The sequence below is a fragment of the Homo sapiens genome, chromosome 21, assembly GCF_000001405.40.
Source record: "Homo sapiens chromosome 21, GRCh38.p14 Primary Assembly".
Lineage (NCBI taxonomy): Eukaryota > Metazoa > Chordata > Mammalia > Primates > Hominidae > Homo > Homo sapiens.
Genome location: NC_000021.9, coordinates 34,512,211 through 34,531,683, shown reverse-complemented (window position 1 = coordinate 34,531,683; position 19,473 = coordinate 34,512,211). Strand labels below are relative to the sequence as shown.

Here is a 19,473-nt window from a genome sequence, read left to right as displayed (position 1 = left end):
CAAGACGACCTTGAACAGTCTGCCTGGGCTACAGCAGGAACAGTGCTTATCACTGAAGCTTATACAGCGGGAGAGGAACGTGACCGAGCTTGGTCAGCATCAGGGATTTTTATGTGTCAGACTTGCACATTATGTTGGAGTGGTAAGACACAGGCCAAGCGAGGCCAGTTGGGAAGATATTACAGTTGCTGAGGGCTGCCTACCTGCAGCACTATGCACGGTGAAGGATGGGATAGAGAACCTACAGGACTTTCTGTGGACCTGCAGGGCACATAGGAGGACATCCAAGGTGCCCTGGACCACCCAGAGAGATGGGGAAATGAGCTACAGTACCACAGGGCATTGGCCCAAGGCGGGCATAGTTCCTTGGAACAAGCGTGGAATCTGCAATGAAAAGCCCAGAGTGAGTTCCGGCTCTCCTAAACATAGTGTGTGCCACTCTGAACCTCAATATCTTTATCGATGAAATCGGAAATAGAAAGGCAACTGATGTGCTTTAGCCGCCACCTGTGTTTCAGGCATTGTGCTAGGCACTTTGCCACCATCACTAGATGAATCCTCTCCACAACTCTGAATTTGATATTAATCCCTCTTAAAAGTTGAGAATAAGAACCTTCTCCTTAGTTAATAATGCCTTTTAGACCACAAAGTGGTAAAGATGAGGAAGAGAGCAAACCCTTGTGGGGTTGTTTTTTGTTTTGTTTTGTTTTTGTGTAGTAACTTAGGCTGGGGAACAATGCTCCACATTCTATAGGGAATGGTTACACATGTGAAGTAACAGTAAAACTACTTTACCACTTTGGGAGGCCGAGGCGGGTGGATCACGAGGTCAGGAGTTTGAGACCAGCCTGACCAACATGGTGAAACCCCATCTCTACTAAAAATACAAAAATTAGCTGGGCGTGGTGGCAGGCGCCTGTAATCCCAACTACTTGGGAGGCTGAGGCAGGAGAATCGCTTGAACCCAGGAGGCAGAGGTTGCAGTGAGCCAAGATCACGCCATTGCACTCCGGCCTGGGCGACAAGAGCAAAACTGTCTCAAAAAAAAAAAAAAAAAAAAAAAAAAACTATTTCACTATCTTAGAAGCAAAAAACTGAAATAAAATGTAACTGTCATCATTTTCATTCACAAGAGAGCCTTTGCAAGTTGCCTCATTTTTTGCTCAGTGTTGGAAGTCAAAACTCAGTTTCTGTCTTTGGTCAGTTCATGTTGCAGACAGCTTCACAGGGGGCACATTCTTGGTGCAGTTGTCAACTCCTTAGAGTTCATAATGGATGTGCTGAAGTCATCCTAATGATGCTTTCAGAATGCTGTAATGGGAATGATGGAATTCATCATAAACCTTAATTTTTCCTCACTGAAAATGGAAACTTCCTAATGGAAACTGTTTGGAGCCAGAGGAGGCAAATGCAGGTTAAAAAGACTCATTTATGATTTTTATGGTGTGAGTGGAAGAAATGCAAAACTTCTAAAGCTCTCAGTTGACTAAAACATTCATTTACTTTAACTTCTGGGTTCAGTTTTATCATGTTGAGTGCAGGTTTTAGAATGCTTCTCAAGAGCTCTAATGAGACTATATTAGTCCGTTTTCACACTGCTGATAAAGACAAGACATACCCAAGACTGGGAAGAAAAAGAGGTTTAATTGGACTTACAGTTCCACATGGCTGGGGAGGCCTCAGAATCACGGCGGGAGGTGAAAGACACTTCTTACATGGCGGCAGCAAGGGAAAATGATGAGAAAGCAAAAGTGAAAACCCCTGATAAACCCATCAGATCTCGTGAGACTTATTCACTATCACGAGAATAGCACAGGAAAGACTGGCCCCCCATGATTCAATTACCTCCCCCTGGGTCCCTCCCACAATATGTGGGAATTCTGGGAGATACAATTCAAGTTGAGATTTTGGTGGGGACACAGCCCAACCATATCAGAGGTCTTGCTGTGGGTCTTGCTCTGCTTTCTTCAGATCACTGACATCCAACCAGCAAGCAAGAATCAGGAATATACTTGCCTCCAAAACCACAAGGAATATACAAGTAGGAAAGTCAGCTTTTTAAATACTTGCTTTGGATCCGTTTTTATTCTCAGTGGGGAGAATCACTATTTATAAAGTAAATTCATTTGCATAGGACCTTTAGAAATGCAAGTTCACGTATAATAGACATGCAGTCAAAGACAGACTCTCTTAGCAAGAATTGTCAGATAAGCAGATGAGGAGGCATTGATATGAGCATAAGGCAGTCTTACCCTATGGGTACAGGGACAGGTGTCCCAGGAAACCCTGTGCTTTGCCCTGTTGGCCAACCAGAGTGTCCAAGTGCCACTAAGGATTCCTGCTACTCAGCAAGACGCACTTTGGAAACTCAAATCTGCTCCATACCTCTCACATTTTAGCCAAGGAAAACCAAGGTGGCAGATCCTAAGTGCCCTCCCCCTGATCCAGGGCTCTGGTACAATTTGTGAACCAGTGATTTTTTTGCCAGAGAACATGCATTCCAGTCTCCCTACAAAGTGGCAGCCACCATTTTGACCGGCTCTTACTCCTGATCTAAAAATGGAAGTGCTCAAGTTTACTAAATTCAATTCAGATAGATAGAACCGATCAATTCAAAGGCAGATATAGAATTACATGTTTTTGGGCAATCTAGTGAAAGATTTATCATTTCTATGAGCAAAGACAGTTGAATAATCTTCAAATACCTCACCGTTCTTTTTTTTTTTTTCCATCCATATAACGAAATCAAAATTGTATATTCGGGTGAGCCCACACTGTTGTCTCAGATGAACAGAGATGTTTGAGATTTGCCCACAAAATTGAGCTGGAACTTTGTGTCATGATTTTAAAAGAGAAAAGAAGACAGTGAAATCAGCCTCTTGTGTCTAAATTAGCCTCTTCTGTCTCTTCTGATCACCTTTTAATGGAATTTGCCCAGGTGCATGCCAGGAGAAGAGAAAAGGGGGAGACAAAGAGTTGGAGAGGGGGAGGGAACATCAGAGAAGTTCCAAGCCCCTCTGGAGGAGTGGAATGCAGGACTGTGTCTGCTCCCCTCACCTCTGTTTCCCCTTAGCCTCTCCTGCCCACCACCACAATCTTCATGTGCCTGCTGGACAGACAAAGGCTCCCTGTACTGAAAATGCAGGACTGCAAGCATACACATTCCCTCTCGAAGCATCATCCAGGATGACCACTTCCCCTTGGTGTTTGATGCATGTTGCATTGTTCAGTATTCTACACTTTTTTGGAATACATGCGTTTATGTCTTTTCAGGTTGGGAGTTATGGATAATTTGGCAAAGCAAACACCATAACTGGTTTCTTACATAACTCTACAGTTGGCAGCAAGGCACAGTGCGTTGAAATTAAGCAACACTCACTCATCCAAAAGGACTTTGCTTTTCCTTTTTTGGAAGGCTAAATGCCCTGCTTTGTTTCTTCCTCTTGCATGTATTTTAAATTATTGGCTGACTTTAATGATTCTTTGAAGTTAATTTTTAAATGTGAATGGCAGGATTCCATTTAACTTCTGGAAGCTTGAGAGCTGTCCCTGTGTGCCCCTAAATCAGAGAATGCTTAAATAACTTGAGTGCTTTTAGGTGATAATAAAATTGGAGAGAGTGAGAAGAACATAGGACCCAGGCTGCCATAGGGATCTAAACTGGTAAAATACTTAGAAGGTTCAAGAGTTGCAACCTTTTGAAAGAACTAGAGTCAGTCTTGCATCGCAGAGCACTTCTCCAAACCAGGCATCTTCCCTGCATCTTCCCTTTCAATTATAGTGTACATTCTTTCCATTTCTTCTTCCTTTCCTTTTTTTTTTTTTTTTTACATTTAGTTTATGAGTCTTTAAGCAGGACCTCTTAACCCATTTATGCCTAGTGTTCCATTATTGGAACGCTAAGCATGTGGGAGTTATTTATATCCTATTGCTCAAGGTCATTGCCAAGGTCTGATGGCAAAAATTCAAAAAATTGCAACCTCTGGCATAAATGGGTTAATGCTTCTTTGCTCAGTTTCAAAGGCTAGATTGCTCAGTTTCAAAGGCTAGTGTTTTTGTATCCTTTGCCTGAATTCAGTAGTGCTTTGAAAATGATCGAAGTGTTTCATATCCCCAGTTCTCAAATTATAATAATGAAGTTTTCAAATGAAAATCCTAGGATTGTTTTAGGTTCTGTTTGCTCCATTCCACTGTGGGATACAAGTAGAAATTGGGACATTCATCCAATAAAATGTCACTGGGGAAAAAAATTTTAACTACACTTCAAAATGATTCCTCTTTTTGTCCTTTAAAATTTTTATTGACCAAGACAGATTTCAAAATGTTTTCTCTAATACCCCAAAGTGAAACTTTGATTGAGGTTTTCAGGAAATTCCAGGGATCAAGTATGTCACCCGGACTTTGGTTTCCAGGTTTCCCAAAGCCTTGAAATTTCCCTACAGTCTAATTGCTGTTTATTGCCACAGACCTTCATCCTTTTTCTTTTGTAACATTTTCCATCTTAAGAAGGGTCGTCCCATTCGGCCGAGGAGCGTGTTGTCTGAGTAGCTGAATGGAATTACTACCAGTGGAAACTATGCTGCAAGAGAGGTTGATAAAGCAGCTGTGAAGCAAACCTCAGCTGTTTTTTCCATTCTCCCCAAGCAAAGTTAATTAGCATAGGGAAAATGACTAAGGTGTTGACGTCACCTCTTTCCAGTAGAAACTTACACTTTGTCCCTGTCTGCCTGCAAGCATGCAGGACTTGACTCAGGAATTTGCTGTCCAAACAGGATGCTGTGGAAGCTGCACTTTTTTTTTCCCCAGGGAGTGGGGGCTGGCCCTTACTGCTTTATAAGCACCAGCTCAAGAAGGAACCTACAGCCTCTTGGAAAGGAATCTCACTAGGGGCTTGACTGCGTGGGTCTGTAGCGCTTTCACTGTAAGAAAGCAAGATGCATTTTAGAAACTTTAACTACAGTTTTAGCTCCCTGATTGCCTGTGTGGCAAACAGTGATATCTTCAGCGAAAGTGAAACCAGGGTAAGGCTTCTAATATAACGTGATTTTCTTTAGTTTTCAAAGCATTATGCTAACTGGGACTATTAACTGAATACTTGGGAGAATGTGGCTCTCTTGTGGGTTTGGGGGTTTTGAAAGAAATCCAAAGTCTTTCGAGCCTTGAAAATCAAAAGCTGTTGCCTGAGGAATTAACTGAGGAAGGAATTTCTAAAGATCTCAATATTTGACAACATCCAGGCCCCTGAACCAACTCACTAGGAAGGCGAGAGTTGGGGCATCGTGTGTTTTTCATTCTGTGTATGTTGTAAGTGAACTTTTCAGAAAGAGGCCTCTTCTGACAGTGAATAGTGTTTTACTTTTGTAGCCAGCGTTGTGAATAATTTCATTTCGTCTTAGGAAATAAATGTTATAAAGATATTTGTATGTTTGTAGTAATTATGAGGGCCTGGCCTCAAGCTCCCAGATTTCTCTAACAAGAGAAAATGCCGCCAGAGCAAATAATAAAACTGGAGAAATTAAGTGTGAGATCAGTGTGCCTCCTGGGCAGCAGCTCTCTTTGATGGTGATTAATATAATCATTTTAATCACTACACTTTTCTTCTTCATTTGATTAAAATGTAAGTTTTTTCATCAGCAGCTATCCGGCTAATTGAGCTTTAATAATACTGTATAGGAATGAATCCTGTATGCTCTATTTGAGGGGTGGTATTTGTGCCTGGTGGTGTTATATGCTTTATATCCAAAGCCATATTGGGACATGCGAAGGTTTCTTTTTTTAAAAAAAATCAAATGTAACTCCATAATTGTATATAATGCTTATGGGCTCGCACCATAGTGTTTGGACTAGATTGCAGAGCACATTCTATGTTTTTAAAGTACTACAAAGTGAGTTCACTTAACATGAGCCTTATGTGAGTAAAATCACTATTTTTTAAATGAAGTAGAGATGCCATCCAAAAGCTATAATAACTAGGTATCAGTTATTAGAACAAATAAGATTCTTTTATAAGAGAAAGGCATCATAGTAATCTAGATTTTAAAGATAATGTGAATTCTCTTTTGTTCTGGTCCTAAGCCCTGAACCTGTATTCTAAAAATATTCTTCAAAGTCATCTCTCCCAAATTCTGAATCATAACTTCAAAACTAAACAGTGGGTCACAGTGCCTATTGATGAGGTCATACAAAATTCCAAATGTACGAAGACACACTTTTGCCAGAAACTTGCCCGTGCTCAAGAGAGGTGGGGAAAAAGAGTGAGAGGCGGCCAGATGAACTCTACCGTCCGCCAGCTCCGCGTTCCTTCGCACGTGCCTCTGCGGGATCCCTCGTGGGAAAGTCTCAGAAATGTCCCTAAACTGAAGAAAAGCCGGGGAATGCAAGGAGAGCAAGGTCGTAGGTTGTTCCGACTGCTCCTTAACGACCTGCCTGGCAGGGACCGACTACCCTGCTCCTACCCGCAGCCCCATGTGGAGCAGGCATCCACCAGTGCCTCCCCGCGCTTGCTAGCAGTGAACATTCCTGAAGACACTCTCCTCTCTTATCCTGAATCCTCGCTCCCACTGCAGAGACACTGCGCCTTCCATAGGTTCTCCAAGGTCCTCAGTGAGCTCTGTCCGCGCTGCCTACCATCCACACCCTGCGCCATCCCCTTCTTCCTGGCCAGCCCCTTCTGCCTTTCACACGGGCTCCCACAAACTGTCCTAAGTGTTTTTGCCTGGTAAAAAGATTCACAAAACCCGGCGACTAGAAGCCCATGCAGTCTTCCTTGGAGCTTTGACTGTCCACCAGTTAAACTCCCTCTCTGAGGAGTTGCAGTGGCCCCCAGCTGCCCCCACCGACAGCCACACTCCAGGACCCAGCCTAGGGGGCTGTCCCCTGAGCAACCTAAGCTTGTAATCCCCCACCTCGAGCTTTGCATTCTAAGAGCTCAGGACATCTCCTAATTCTCACTAGCCCTATGGCACCAGAGCGAGGTGTGCACAGACACGAAAGCCAGGATGCAGAAAATGGTCCATTTGCAGAACATTAATTTTTAAACCAGTATCATTTTAGAGAGTTAAAAAGTAACAGACTGAGATAAAAGCGATCGTGGAAATTTTTAAAAACTACTTATTTTAAGAAATGCAAAACTTTCTACCAACTTTGTTATTTTTCAAGTCAGTATTTCTTTTTTTCAAATTAGCTGCAGTTCTTTTAAGCCTTAAAGAAATCTTTGATATATGCAACACTGCCCTGAGCTGAACGGTGGGGTTGGAGTTGGCTAGCCGGGGAAGGCTATAGGACAGAGAAAAAAGGGGGGGTGAGTGGGGGAAGGCCATAGGACAGAGAAACATGGGGAGCAAATTACCAAACTGTACCTCCCTGGAAAATGCTCATTCTACTTTTTAAAAAAGTTTGTTACCGTAAGTAGTGTCTATGTATTGGCAACTGTTCTGCTGATTCGATGAATGTAATAAATCATACCTTCTTACCTTCTTGTAAAATCACCTGCATTGGGACTAAAGGCCATAGTCCCCTAAGAGGGGAAAGGCTTTTCTCTAAGAAAGAAGTTAGGAGTTCTTGAAAGGATTGATGATCCACTTCCTCAGTAAAAAATGTATTGAGGAGGCCAGGCACGGTGGCTCATGCCTGTAATCCCAGCACTTTGGGAGGCCGAGGGATCACCTGAGGACAGGAGCTTGAGACCAGCCTTGCCAACATGGCAAAGCCCCGTCTCTACTAAAAATACAAAAATTAGCCAGGTGTGCTGGCAGGCACCTGTAACCCCAGCTACTCGGGAGGCTGAGGCAGGAGAATCACTTGAACCTGGGAGGTGGAGGTTGCAGTGAGCCAAAACTGCACCACTGCACTCCAGCCTGGGTGACAGAGCAAGACTCTGTCTCGAAGAAAAAAAAAAAAGTAATGACATCATCTAGTCAAGGGTCATATGCAGGTAAATTTCAACTCCTTTTATTTTTATTGTTATTTTTCAGGCCAAATTTGAGTCCCTCTTTAGGACGTATGACAAGGACATCACCTTTCAGTATTTTAAGAGCTTCAAACGAGTCAGAATAAACTTCAGCAACCCCTTCTCCGCAGCAGATGCCAGGCTCCAGCTGCATAAGACTGAGTTTCTGGGAAAGGAAATGAAGTTATATTTTGCTCAGGTGAGTTGGGTTCATTGCTATGCATGCTTCTCCCTCCTCCCTCCCTCCCTTTTGTAAAGCAGCTTATACGTTGCTTATGTTATATGCTGACCGGAAACTCTGAGACTTCACCTTGAGAAAGACAAAATTCCTACTCTGAATGTTCAGCGTCTCACTTGTTTTAAGAAGATATCAAGGTGCATTTGAAAGCAACCTCAGACATTGCCCCTGACCTTCCTGGGTTGATAATGATGGGGGAAAGAAAGCCTTCCCTGTTCACTGGGGAGCTTGCAGGGTGCAGCGGGGTAGGCGTGGCTATGCAAACACCCTAAGGTTTGCGCAGCAGGTTTCCATGAATTTGCTCAAGGGTTGGAGCTCATGACCCACTCTAGACTGAGCAGACCAGAGTGGTTCCCTGCTCATGTGGTGCTGGGGGTACTCAGCAGAGAAACAGGAGTCTGCAGAAGATGCCTGCAAATCAGCCCAGGACTGCCAGGTCTGGCTTGAAAGGAAAATAGGGGATAACCAGACTGGGCGCAGATGCTAAGAAACCCTCTGGTTGGCAGGGTTCCCAGCCCCAGGGCACCCACGGCAGGGAGAGGGGTAGCTGGGGTTGGGCTTGCCTTTTCTCCTGCCCACTACCATTTTGACCCTCCTCTGGGGAACTTAGGACAGGTGACCCACCTTCAAGGCAGCTCCCAGAGTTCCATTTGATGTCCTTAGGGGCTGACAGATTGTCAGGGAAGAAGAGAGGAGCTTCTAGAATGCAGCCAGCTCCTCAGTAAAGCAAGTCCCCCTCAGGCTCTGAGCACCCCCCCAACCCGCCCCCACCACACACACACATACACACATACCTTGCTGGGATGGGAGAGGACCCTGTCCAAAGGCCTCCCCCAGTGGGAGGAAGCTCATCTGACACCACGCCAGAGAGCCAAAGTGTCTTTTCTTCCTCAAAGTGAGGACAGCGAACTTGCTGGGCCCTTCAAGTATAAATAAAGCATTTGGGATCCCCGCCCCACCCCTGACCTTTTTGCCCTGGGAGGCACAGGCTGAGCTTTGACCTTGGGTGCCTAGGCCTTCCTGTGTGAGTACACTCCTTTCTGCACGGGATAAGATTTTATGCAAATAATTACTTAGTACTCCTCTGACCTTTTCTGTTTGTAAAACAATGCATATTCATTGTGAAAACTTGGGGAGGGCAATCTGGAAGTGCAGAGAAAACCTACACCGCGCAGCTTGAGATGTAAGAGCTCTATGGACAGCCCTCTCATCACTGGTCAGCATTTCTAAAACCAAACTAGGATCGTAGGTTATTGTTCCTTATTCTTATTTCTTAAAGTCTCCTGGGAAGTGGCTTTTTTTTTTTTTTCTGGCATCTGATCCAGAGTCCCGGAGAGGGAGGTGCAGAGCTGCTGCTGGGTGGGGAACCCTAGGGGCAGGTGGAGCCCTGGCTCCCTGTCCCTGAGAAGCTGTGTCCTCTCAGAACTGTGGCCTAGGCTTTGGACTTTCAGAGCTTGCCTCTGTGGTATGAGGAGCGGGGAGAGACTGATTCCAAGAGCCCTCCTGACCTCAATGACAGTGACTTAAATTTCCATATATACTAAAGTCACCTCTGCTGATTTTCTGTCCATCTAGGTCAAGCGTAATTATTTGCAGTCCCTGTGCCTGTGACTCCCATAGCCCTGGGAGGGGGCTGTCATCCTATCTGTGCCACAACCAGAGTTCATATGTCCTTTTGCCCTCCCCATTACAGACCATCTTACAATTGGTCCTGGAATCACACCTGTCCTGACGCCTGGACATTGACCTGCCCATCTCCCGGAACTGGCGTTAGGTGCTGTTGCCTCACTGCAGTTCTTCCCTGGCAACAACTGACCTGTGCTTATTTTCTCTCCTCAGACCTTACACATAGGAAGCTCACACCTGGCTCCGCCAAATCCAGACAAGCAGTTTCTGATCTCCCCTCCCGCCTCTCCGCCAGTGGGATGGAAACAAGTGGAAGATGCGACCCCAGTCATAAACTATGATCTCTTATATGCCATCTCCAAGCTGGGGCCAGGTGAGCAGGGCCCTCGGGTGGGAGGGAGGCAGGGGGAGACACAGCTGCTGCCCTGCACCAGGGAGCAGTACCACCACTACCCCCGTAGCTCTCCTGAGCCCATGCCGGCATGTTTTGTGAGCTTCTCTGTATTCTTCTGCGCCACCGTCCCTTGTGCTGGGAGCATGCCTGCCTCTTGGCACCACCTGCAGTGTTAGAGAGACTGCGGCTGATCGTGGGGACCCTGCATCACGCCCCTCCACCCCCCGCAGTGTCCCAGGAATCCATTCCTGTGTCCACTGAGCACAGCCTGCGTGGGAGGCCTGAGCCCCGGCCCCAGGTTCTGTCGCTCCGGATAGGGATGAGTGATTGGACTTTGGAAAGGGAAAATCGATGCCCCCTTTAAGAAATGTTATTTTTAATCAAAATAAATTCTCCCTTTCCTGTGATTCTCACCTGGCCTTCTTAAAGGAAAAGGGAAGGAGAACCATAGGCCATGGTGAGGGAAGGGCCGCGGTCGGGCTGCCCTACCCCAGGGCCTGTGGGCTGGTCCCCTACAGAGCTTGCTAAAGAAAGAGGAAGTTCCCGTCCTCTGGAGGGACAAAAGTGTGAGCACTGCGGGGAGGGGGTAGGTTCCTCAGGCTCTTTGTCCAAAATGTGGGCCTTAACTGGTGGAATTGTGAGCAGTAGATGAGATCATCGAGTGAAAGGCACTTCCATCAGCACCTGGCTCACAGTCAGTGTTCAATGCAGGATTTTTGAAAACCATAAAATGTTGGTGGTTCCTGTCCTGTCCTCTAGGGTTTGGGTGAGGAGGCAGGTGTGAGGGAGAGTCTTGGGGTGAAGAGGTTTGAGCCTTCTCCTGCTCTGTCCGTGGAGCAAGTCAAATAAATGCTGAGACCGTCAGCTCCTCATTTCTCCTTGACCAGCAATCTGATGTTCCCTTGGGTTGAGGGTTTTGTTTTCTTGGTCCATCAGCAGTTTCATATTGAAAAGATTACATTTCTGAAAACATTGTCCAAACGGAAATTCCCTCTGTGGGATAAAGCAAGACTCACATTACTTACTGCTAATTGTGGCGTGAAGGTCAAGATCAGAAATGGCCATTTTGAGGAAGCGTGTGCTCCCCCCACAGCAGCTCCTGGCCCGGGGGCATGAGCATGGCTGAGGGTGTGGAGTCTTCCCCTAGGTTAGGAATGGGAGAAAACAGGGTCTCCACTTGCAAAGAGGTGTCCACAGTTCCAGAGGCAAATGCTGTTAATAAAAATTCTGCATACTCCAGAATATACCACTTCCTTCACCGAGGGCTTATTGGAGAAGGCTTTTTAGGAAATAGACGTAATAAAATCAGTTTGTCCTTGGTTCACTTAACAGTGAGCTTGAGTGAGATTTCATATTTCACCTGTGCTTTTCAACCAACAGGATTGCGGAGATTTTGCAAATTATGGTCCTAAACCCTGAGCTTTCTGGATTTTCGATGATTAGTAGGTAGATAAGAGACTTGCAAAGAGGTAGATTTGTAAGAGGCTCTTAACCAGCATTTTCAGCAATCCATCTGACCTCCCATGCCTGAATTCTCTCTCTCAGAGAGCTGAGCTCCTTTGCCTTTTTCAGTGCAGTTATAATAACATTCCAGTCCCACATGTGATAGAGAAAAGATCACCACCTTCCTTATCAGTAAAAGTACCTTCCAGGTTTAGAGGAGTAACCAGTGTGGCTGGAGGTAGGAAGCTCTCCTGGGCCGCTCTTGTCGGGCGGAAATCACACAGTGGTTGGTGCGGTGCCTCCTCGCTTACCCGAACTGCAAAGAAATCCCAAGCACAGGCCGGGCGCGGTGGCTCATGCCTGTAATCCCAGCACTTTGGAAGGCTGAGGCAGGCGGATCACGAGGTCAGGAGATCAAGACCATCCTGGCCAACATGGTGAAACCTCGTCTCTACTAAAAATACAAAAATTAGCTGAGTATGATGGCATGCGCCTGTAGTCCCAGCTACTTGGGAGGCTGAGGCAGGAGAATCACTTGAACCTGGGAGGCGGAGGTTGCACTGAGCCGAGATCTTGTCACTGCATTCCAGCCTGGGCAACAGGCAAGACTCTGTCTCAAAAAAAAAAAAAAAAAAAAGAAAGAAAGAAAGAAAAAGAAAAAAGAAAAGAAAAGAAATCCCAAGCACAAAGCCCTGGAAGAAAACTGACCATGAGGCCACACCCTGTGGGTGGAGCAGGTTGAAGCAAACCTCCTGCCCCTATTTCAGATCCCTGCCCAGCAGGGCACCAATAACGATGCAGTCTCCATTCTTAAACATCTTTCTAGGTGACATGGGCTGGACAAGCATGTGGTGAGCCGGGTTCTCATTGCCTCGGGCACTCACTCATGCTGTTAGCTCCATGAAGTCAATACCTTTACCGTCTCCTTTACTGAGGAGGGAACTGAGGTGCACAGGGAAGCAGAATAAAGTGCCCATGAGCCCTGGGTACTAAGGAGCCAGGCTCAGAGCTGCCTTCATGAGCACCAGAGATGCACACTCTTCCCGTGGCCAGAGCGGCACCCCAGCGGGAGGCCCCAGTCCCTTCATTCTACATTGCCGGGTTTTTCAGTTGCAGAAAGCTCTCCCCACCCTTGCTGGACCAGAGTGGCCTGAACTTGGCCAACCTGGTAGAACTCAGGCTGACATAGAACAGCAGGACACTCCTGGTCCCGGGGATTAGAAGTTGTTCTAAGGAAAAGATGCCCAGGTCAAAAACGTTTCCAGAGCACCTGGCTCCGTGCAGCCACCCCTGCGTCTGCTGCAGGGCCTCCTGTGGCGCCCTTCCTGGGCGTGCACTGCGACCCTCAAATAGGAGCTGCATGAGGGAGGCCCAGGGTTCTGTTTCCAAATACGTTTCTTCATCCATCTTTTTCCTGAACCGAAGTTTCTCACATTCACACTTGAGGAAATGCTGACAGAAAGGGAGTTCTCTGGGTAGTTTAGATATCTGGTGGACATGTGAAGTATAACTAGAAAAATGCATTCCTTCTATACTTCTCATGTGCCTGGACTCCCAGAATGTTTGACTAAAAACAGAGTCATGCACAATGGAAATCTCTCTTTTTCTGAATGAGCTAGCAAAGAAATACAAACCCAAAATATGTCTGGCTGTGTCTCTCAGCCCAATCGAATGGTCACGAGCAGCTGGCCCAGCAGAGCCCTGAATGCTCTTTTATGTTTGCCTTTTGACTCCCAAGGACTTGTCTGAGTGACCCTGCGATTATTTTCCCTCCTTAGGGGAAAAGTATGAATTGCACGCAGCGACTGACACCACTCCCAGCGTGGTGGTCCATGTATGTGAGAGTGATCAAGAGAAGGAGGAAGAAGAGGAAATGGAAAGAATGAGGAGACCTAAGCCAAAAATTATCCAGACCAGGAGGCCGGAGTACACGCCGATCCACCTCAGCTGAACTGGCACGCGACGAGGACGCATTCCAAATCATACTCACGGGAGGAATCTTTTACTGTGGAGGTGGCTGGTCACGACTTCTTCGGAGGTGGCAGCCGAGATCGGGGTGGCAGAAATCCCAGTTCATGTTGCTCAGAAGAGAATCAAGGCCGTGTCCCCTTGTTCTAATGCTGCACACCAGTTACTGTTCATGGCACCCGGGAATGACTTGGGCCAATCACTGAGTTTGTGGTGATCGCACAAGGACATTTGGGACTGTCTTGAGAAAACAGATAATGATAGTGTTTTGTACTTGTTCTTTTCTGGTAGGTTCTGTCTGTGCCAAGGGCAGGTTGATCAGTGAGCTCAGGAGAGAGCTTCCTGTTTCTAAGTGGCCTGCAGGGGCCACTCTCTACTGGTAGGAAGAGGTACCACAGGAAGCCGCCTAGTGCAGAGAGGTTGTGAAAACAGCAGCAATGCAATGTGGAAATTGTAGCGTTTCCTTTCTTCCCTCATGTTCTCATGTTTGTGCATGTATATTACTGATTTACAAGACTAACCTTTGTTCGTATATAAAGTTACACCGTTGTTGTTTTACATCTTTTGGGAAGCCAGGAAAGCGTTTGGAAAACGTATCACCTTTCCCAGATTCTCGGATTCTCGACTCTTTGCAACAGCACTTGCTTGCGGAACTCTTCCTGGAATGCATTCACTCAGCATCCCCAACCGTGCAACGTGTAACTTGTGCTTTTGCAAAAGAAGTTGATCTGAAATTCCTCTGTAGAATTTAGCTTATACAATTCAGAGAATAGCAGTTTCACTGCCAACTTTTAGTGGGTGAGAAATTTTAGTTTAGGTGTTTGGGATCGGACCTCAGTTTCTGTTGTTTCTTTTATGTGGTGGTTTCTATACATGAATCATAGCCAAAAACTTTTTTGGAAACTGTTGGTTGAGATAGTTGGTTCTTTTACCCCACGAAGACATCAAGATACACTTGTAAATAAAGCTGATAGCATATATTCATACCTGTTGTACACTTGGGTGAAAAGTATGGCAGTGGGAGACTAAGATGTATTAACCTACCTGTGAATCATATGTTGTAGGAAAAGCTGTTCCCATGTCTAACAGGACTTGAATTCAAAGCATGTCAAGTGGATAGTAGATCTGTGGCGATATGAGAGGGATGCAGTGCCTTTCCCCATTCATTCCTGATGGAATTGTTATACTAGGTTAACATTTGTAATTTTTTTCTAGTTGTAATGTGTATGTCTGGTAAATAGGTATTATATTTTGGCCTTACAATACCGTAACAATGTTTGTCATTTTGAAATACTTAATGCCAAGTAACAATGCATGCTTTGGAAATTTGGAAGATGGTTTTATTCTTTGAGAAGCAAATATGTTTGCATTAAATGCTTTGATTGTTCATATCAAGAAATTGATTGAACGTTCTCAAACCCTGTTTACGGTACTTGGTAAGAGGGAGCCGGTTTGGGAGAGACCATTGCATCGCTGTCCAAGTGTTTCTTGTTAAGTGCTTTTAAACTGGAGAGGCTAACCTCAAAATATTTTTTTTAACTGCATTCTATAATAAATGGGCACAGTATGCTCCTTACAGAAAAGTTGTCATTTTATTTCTAGAATAAATCTGTGAACCTTCTAAATTCTGCAGTTTAAAAGGCTTTTAAACCTTTTTAAACATTTTAAATTCAGAAGGAGACATCCTTTGTCAATTTGAGCTTAGAAACTCCTAATTCTGTGCTGTGGTTCATGGAGAGTCCACCACACTAAGAATGCATCACTTGCAAAAGAAGAAAATGGATAAAACTGAAATCAGAACTTCGAGTATTTCGTTTGTACAGGTAGATGCTACTGTGATGAAACCCCTGTTCACCAGCACCTCCACAAAACAGCAATGGTTTTGGTCATTTGAAGAGCTTTCTTTTCTATTAGAAAAGATGTCCATGGAAGATACTAAGTTATCTTCAGAAGATGCATCTGTAAGCCTTCTGTTTAATCTCTGGCAGCTTTTCCCCTGAAAGTCTCATTTCAAATGGTGGTGACCTTCCTGGGAAGCCCACAAAGGCCTAAGTAACCCAGTGTTTATTTGCTGAAATCTAGGAAATGACATTAATCCTGATCAACATTAGCATTAGGCGTTTATCTATGAAAATTCACATGCTACTTTTTTTTCTCTGTCTTGAGAACCATGATCCTGTCATTTCCAAGAGTATTTGCACATTTTCAAGCCATATATGTTCAAGGTTTAATCGTGCTGGAAAATCCACACTTCCACCAAGTTGGTCAAATCTGATTATTGGACAGATTCAGGCATTGACCCCCACTAAGGACAGGCAGGAAATATTTCCAAATAGAGACTCTCAACAGGTCCCCTTAGATAAAGGAGGGAAAAAGTCAGTGGTCCCACTGCCAGTGAAGCCAATAGACCTTAGAATAGAAAATACAAGTCAAGGAAAAGGCTCACTCAGGACAGCCTATTTCTTCTGAGTTGTTCTGTGGAAGCCTCAGCTGAAATTGTAAAACCAATAATGCACAAAGTTTCTGGTTCCCAGGCTGATGGGCCTGAAAGTAATTGAATCATGAATGTGCCCAGGACCCACGCATTGCTTTGTAGGAGAGGGGTTCAGTCAAATGTGAAACAACCGACATTCAACAGGCAGCATCATGCAGGATGCACACTTTGCCATTGATTGAAAGTGTTTCTTCAATAGGCTTTGATAGAATATGTTACTAATCTGATGGGAAACAGCTTAGGGCCATGCAAAAAAAGAAAATCAGCCCCTGGAAATGAGTGGCTAAATCAAAGCGAAGGGCAGTAGAAGGAGAGGAGCGGAGCAATTCATGGAGCTATTCAGACACAAGCTATAAACATTGATTTGAAGTCAGCAGGCATTTGGGATTTTACATTTCCAGAATATTGTGTGTGAATTACTGCCCACAGAAGATTTGGGTTTTCAGAGAGCTTTAATTTTCTGTGAAATGTGCAGAACTCACTACAAAATAAATCGATTTTCTCATATGTTAAGTTGCAGGAGATTAAAAGCACTCTATGGACGTGTTATGATCAAAAGTGAACGCGCAGCCAAAGTCTGTCACACTTCACAGTGCCCGTAGAACCCGCAGAAAGTTTGCCTGGGTATCATAGGTACATATCCAGTAACATTCACCCAAAGGTCAGTGACTCAGGTGGAAGCTGCATACATAATTACCCTAAAAATTATTCAGGAAGAAGGTCCACTATGAATAACAAGTACTCTTCCCTCCTGCCTCTCTGGCCTCCTGATTCTAAAGTAGAACAGGGAGTAGAACGTGGAGGAAACTTTTCAAGTATATCACCACTCTTGGCAATCCTTAATTCACATCTGAAATTCTCACTCCGTGACTCACCGAAAGTTACATGGCAATCAGGTAGATGGATTTGCTTCTCACATACCTCATTTTCTTCCACAATCCTTCCCTGCTGTTCGTGAAAGGTCATTTCAATCATAGCTATGTTTATGAAAGACAGAAGGAAATTATTCACAAGTGATTGAGGTGTGCTGCCTGTGCCCACCGTTTCTCCTTCTTTCAGGATTCTGATGAGGGACTCGGTGACCCTTCTACACAGCGAACGAGTGCCAAGTAGATGCAGTGGCCACTGCTCAAATCCCTCTTTCAAGAGTGTCAGGGCCCTCCTGGCTGACATTTGTACTCTGGCAGCGCAGACTTTTCAGTGTTTTTAACTTACCATGTTGTCTTTTCTCTGCCTAGAAAATGATCTCATTGTCCCAGCCCAGCCCTGCTAACCCCACAATGAGGTCCACGAGGTCCTGCTCACCCCTGTTCAAATTCCAGCAGCTACCTCTGTGCCCAGCCACAGAACATGTTTCTAGGGGCTGCTTTTCTTTTCTTGAGTGGCCCTAAGCTGTTTCTTACCAGATTAGTAATATATTCTATCAAAACCTACTGAAGAAACACTTTCAATCAGTGGCAAAGCGTGCATTCTGCACAGTTCTGCCTGTTGAATGTCGGTCATTTCACATTTTACTGAACCCCTCTCTTACAAAACAACGTGTGGGTCCTGGGCACATTCATGATGCAGTGACTTTCAAACCCATCAGCCTGGGAACCCAGAAACTTCTTGCATTATTGGTCACAATAAGCGCTACTGAAATGATTGACTCTTTAATATTTCTCCTGCAGGTGTCTATTAGGAATGTCTCTTCCCCCTAAGAATCGTTGCCAGCTACTCCCGCTGGGTCTCCCATCATGCCCCCTTCTTTTCCATTGTATGGCATATTTTCTTTTTTATCGTAATTGTTAAATTGTTTGTCTTCCCTGTTGAAACATAATTTGGGTGGAAGTGGGATTCCTGGTAGCCAATGGCTCATAGTAGACGTTCAACACGCAAGTGGATTGGATAGATGGAAGGATAGATGGGTAGATGGAAAGTTGGATGGATGGATGGATGGATGGATGGATGGATGGATGGATGGATGGATAGGGATTTTGGAGGAAGAGGAGTGAGCAGTCACTGAAAAGAATAGAAAAATAATGAGGCTTGCTCCCTCTCCCTAGTCAGAAGAGCCAGTAAGCAGCTTAGAGCTTTAATCCCACAAATTGTCAGGCAGCTGGCGCAAGAACAGGGAAAAAGAGAGAGAGAGAGAGAGAGAGACCCTGTCTGTGGTAGGTTATGGTCATCAGTGAAAAAGAACAAAAACCTTTGTTTTAAAACTCTCCTCAAAACAGATGATTGGCTAGAGGGTGCGGCACAAAGGAACTTGTCAGGGTGATGGAGACATTCTGTATCTGGATTGAGCAATGCAAGAACCTGGGTAAAGACACAGTCATGGTAACAGCTGTATACATCTGTTGAAAACTCATCAAACTTATCATATTTAGAAAGGGTACATTTTGCTTCATGTAAAGTATGCCTCAATAAAGTGTACTTGATTTTAAAATCAGGATAAAGGAAAAAAACATTGATCTTGGATAATGGGCAGGGGTTGGGGAGAAGGTCTTAATTATCATCATATCCTTTTAAAAACGTTTTTCAAGTGTGTGATGCTCTGATGACATTCTTAAGACACAGCAAGGCAAAGCAGTATCCCAAATGAGAGAGTGAGCATTCCAATAAATATTTTCTGTAAGACACTGATATGTCTATGACTATTTGCTAAATTTAAAAATCAACTTGGACCATATTTACTCCCTTAAAGTCTAATAGACGACTAATTTCTTCTATGTTCAGAACAAATATGTTGCTACTTTAAGAACAGCATACATAGGTGTGGTCGGCCCTCTGTGTCTAAGGCTTCTGCATCTGTGGATTCAACCAACAATGGACTGAAAATATTCCAAAAATAAAATAAAATTAATGAAACAACAACAAAAATAAAACAAATAAAAAAATGCCAGGTAACAACTACTTACAAAGCATTTACATAGTATTAGGTGTTAGAAGTAATCAAGAGATGATTTAAATCACCATCTATGATTGGCTGATATGCATAGGTTATATGCAAATACTATGCCACTATATATAAAGGACTTGAACATTCGCAAATTTTGGTATCTGCAGGGGATTCTGGAACCAAACCCCATGGATACCAAGAGACAACTATATATAAAATACTGAAAGAGGCATGGAGAGTGATTTTCAGGCCTCTACCTAAAGCCCTGAATATTAGAAATTACTGAATTTCTTCTCAGGAAGGAAATTACGCCATAAACCAGTGTTGCCACACACCCAGAGAACAAGATGACCCGACGCCCCAGCCTGGTCATGCCACATGAGCTGAGCAGTGGGTAGGCCACTGAGCCAGTGATAGAAATCACAAATTACAAAACGTCAGAGTACTTTCTGGAAATAAGCCTTCCTCTCCAGGGAACAAC

The 19,473-nt window shown here is 44.6% G+C and overlaps 1 protein-coding gene across 8 annotated transcripts in view; it reads left to right on the top strand.

Annotated features, from left to right (window-relative positions):
- Window positions 1-15,242, top strand: part of RCAN1 (regulator of calcineurin 1) — a 98,672-nt gene extending 83,430 nt beyond the window's left edge. For 3 of the 8 annotated variants that reach the window (NM_004414.7, NM_203417.2, NM_001285389.2), the window contains exons 2-4: window positions 7,974-8,147; window positions 10,026-10,185; window positions 13,428-15,242. In NM_004414.7, the coding sequence (NP_004405.3) occupies window positions 7,974-8,147; window positions 10,026-10,185; window positions 13,428-13,600 (507 nt within the window). In that variant the 3' untranslated portion in view covers window positions 13,601-15,242. Of the gene's footprint in view, window positions 1-4,861; window positions 5,022-6,216; window positions 6,597-7,046; window positions 7,158-7,973; window positions 8,148-10,025; window positions 10,614-13,427 lie in introns of those variants that run through there. The other 5 variants (NM_203418.3, NM_001285392.2, NM_001285391.2 and 2 more) reach the window with 5 other exon arrangements.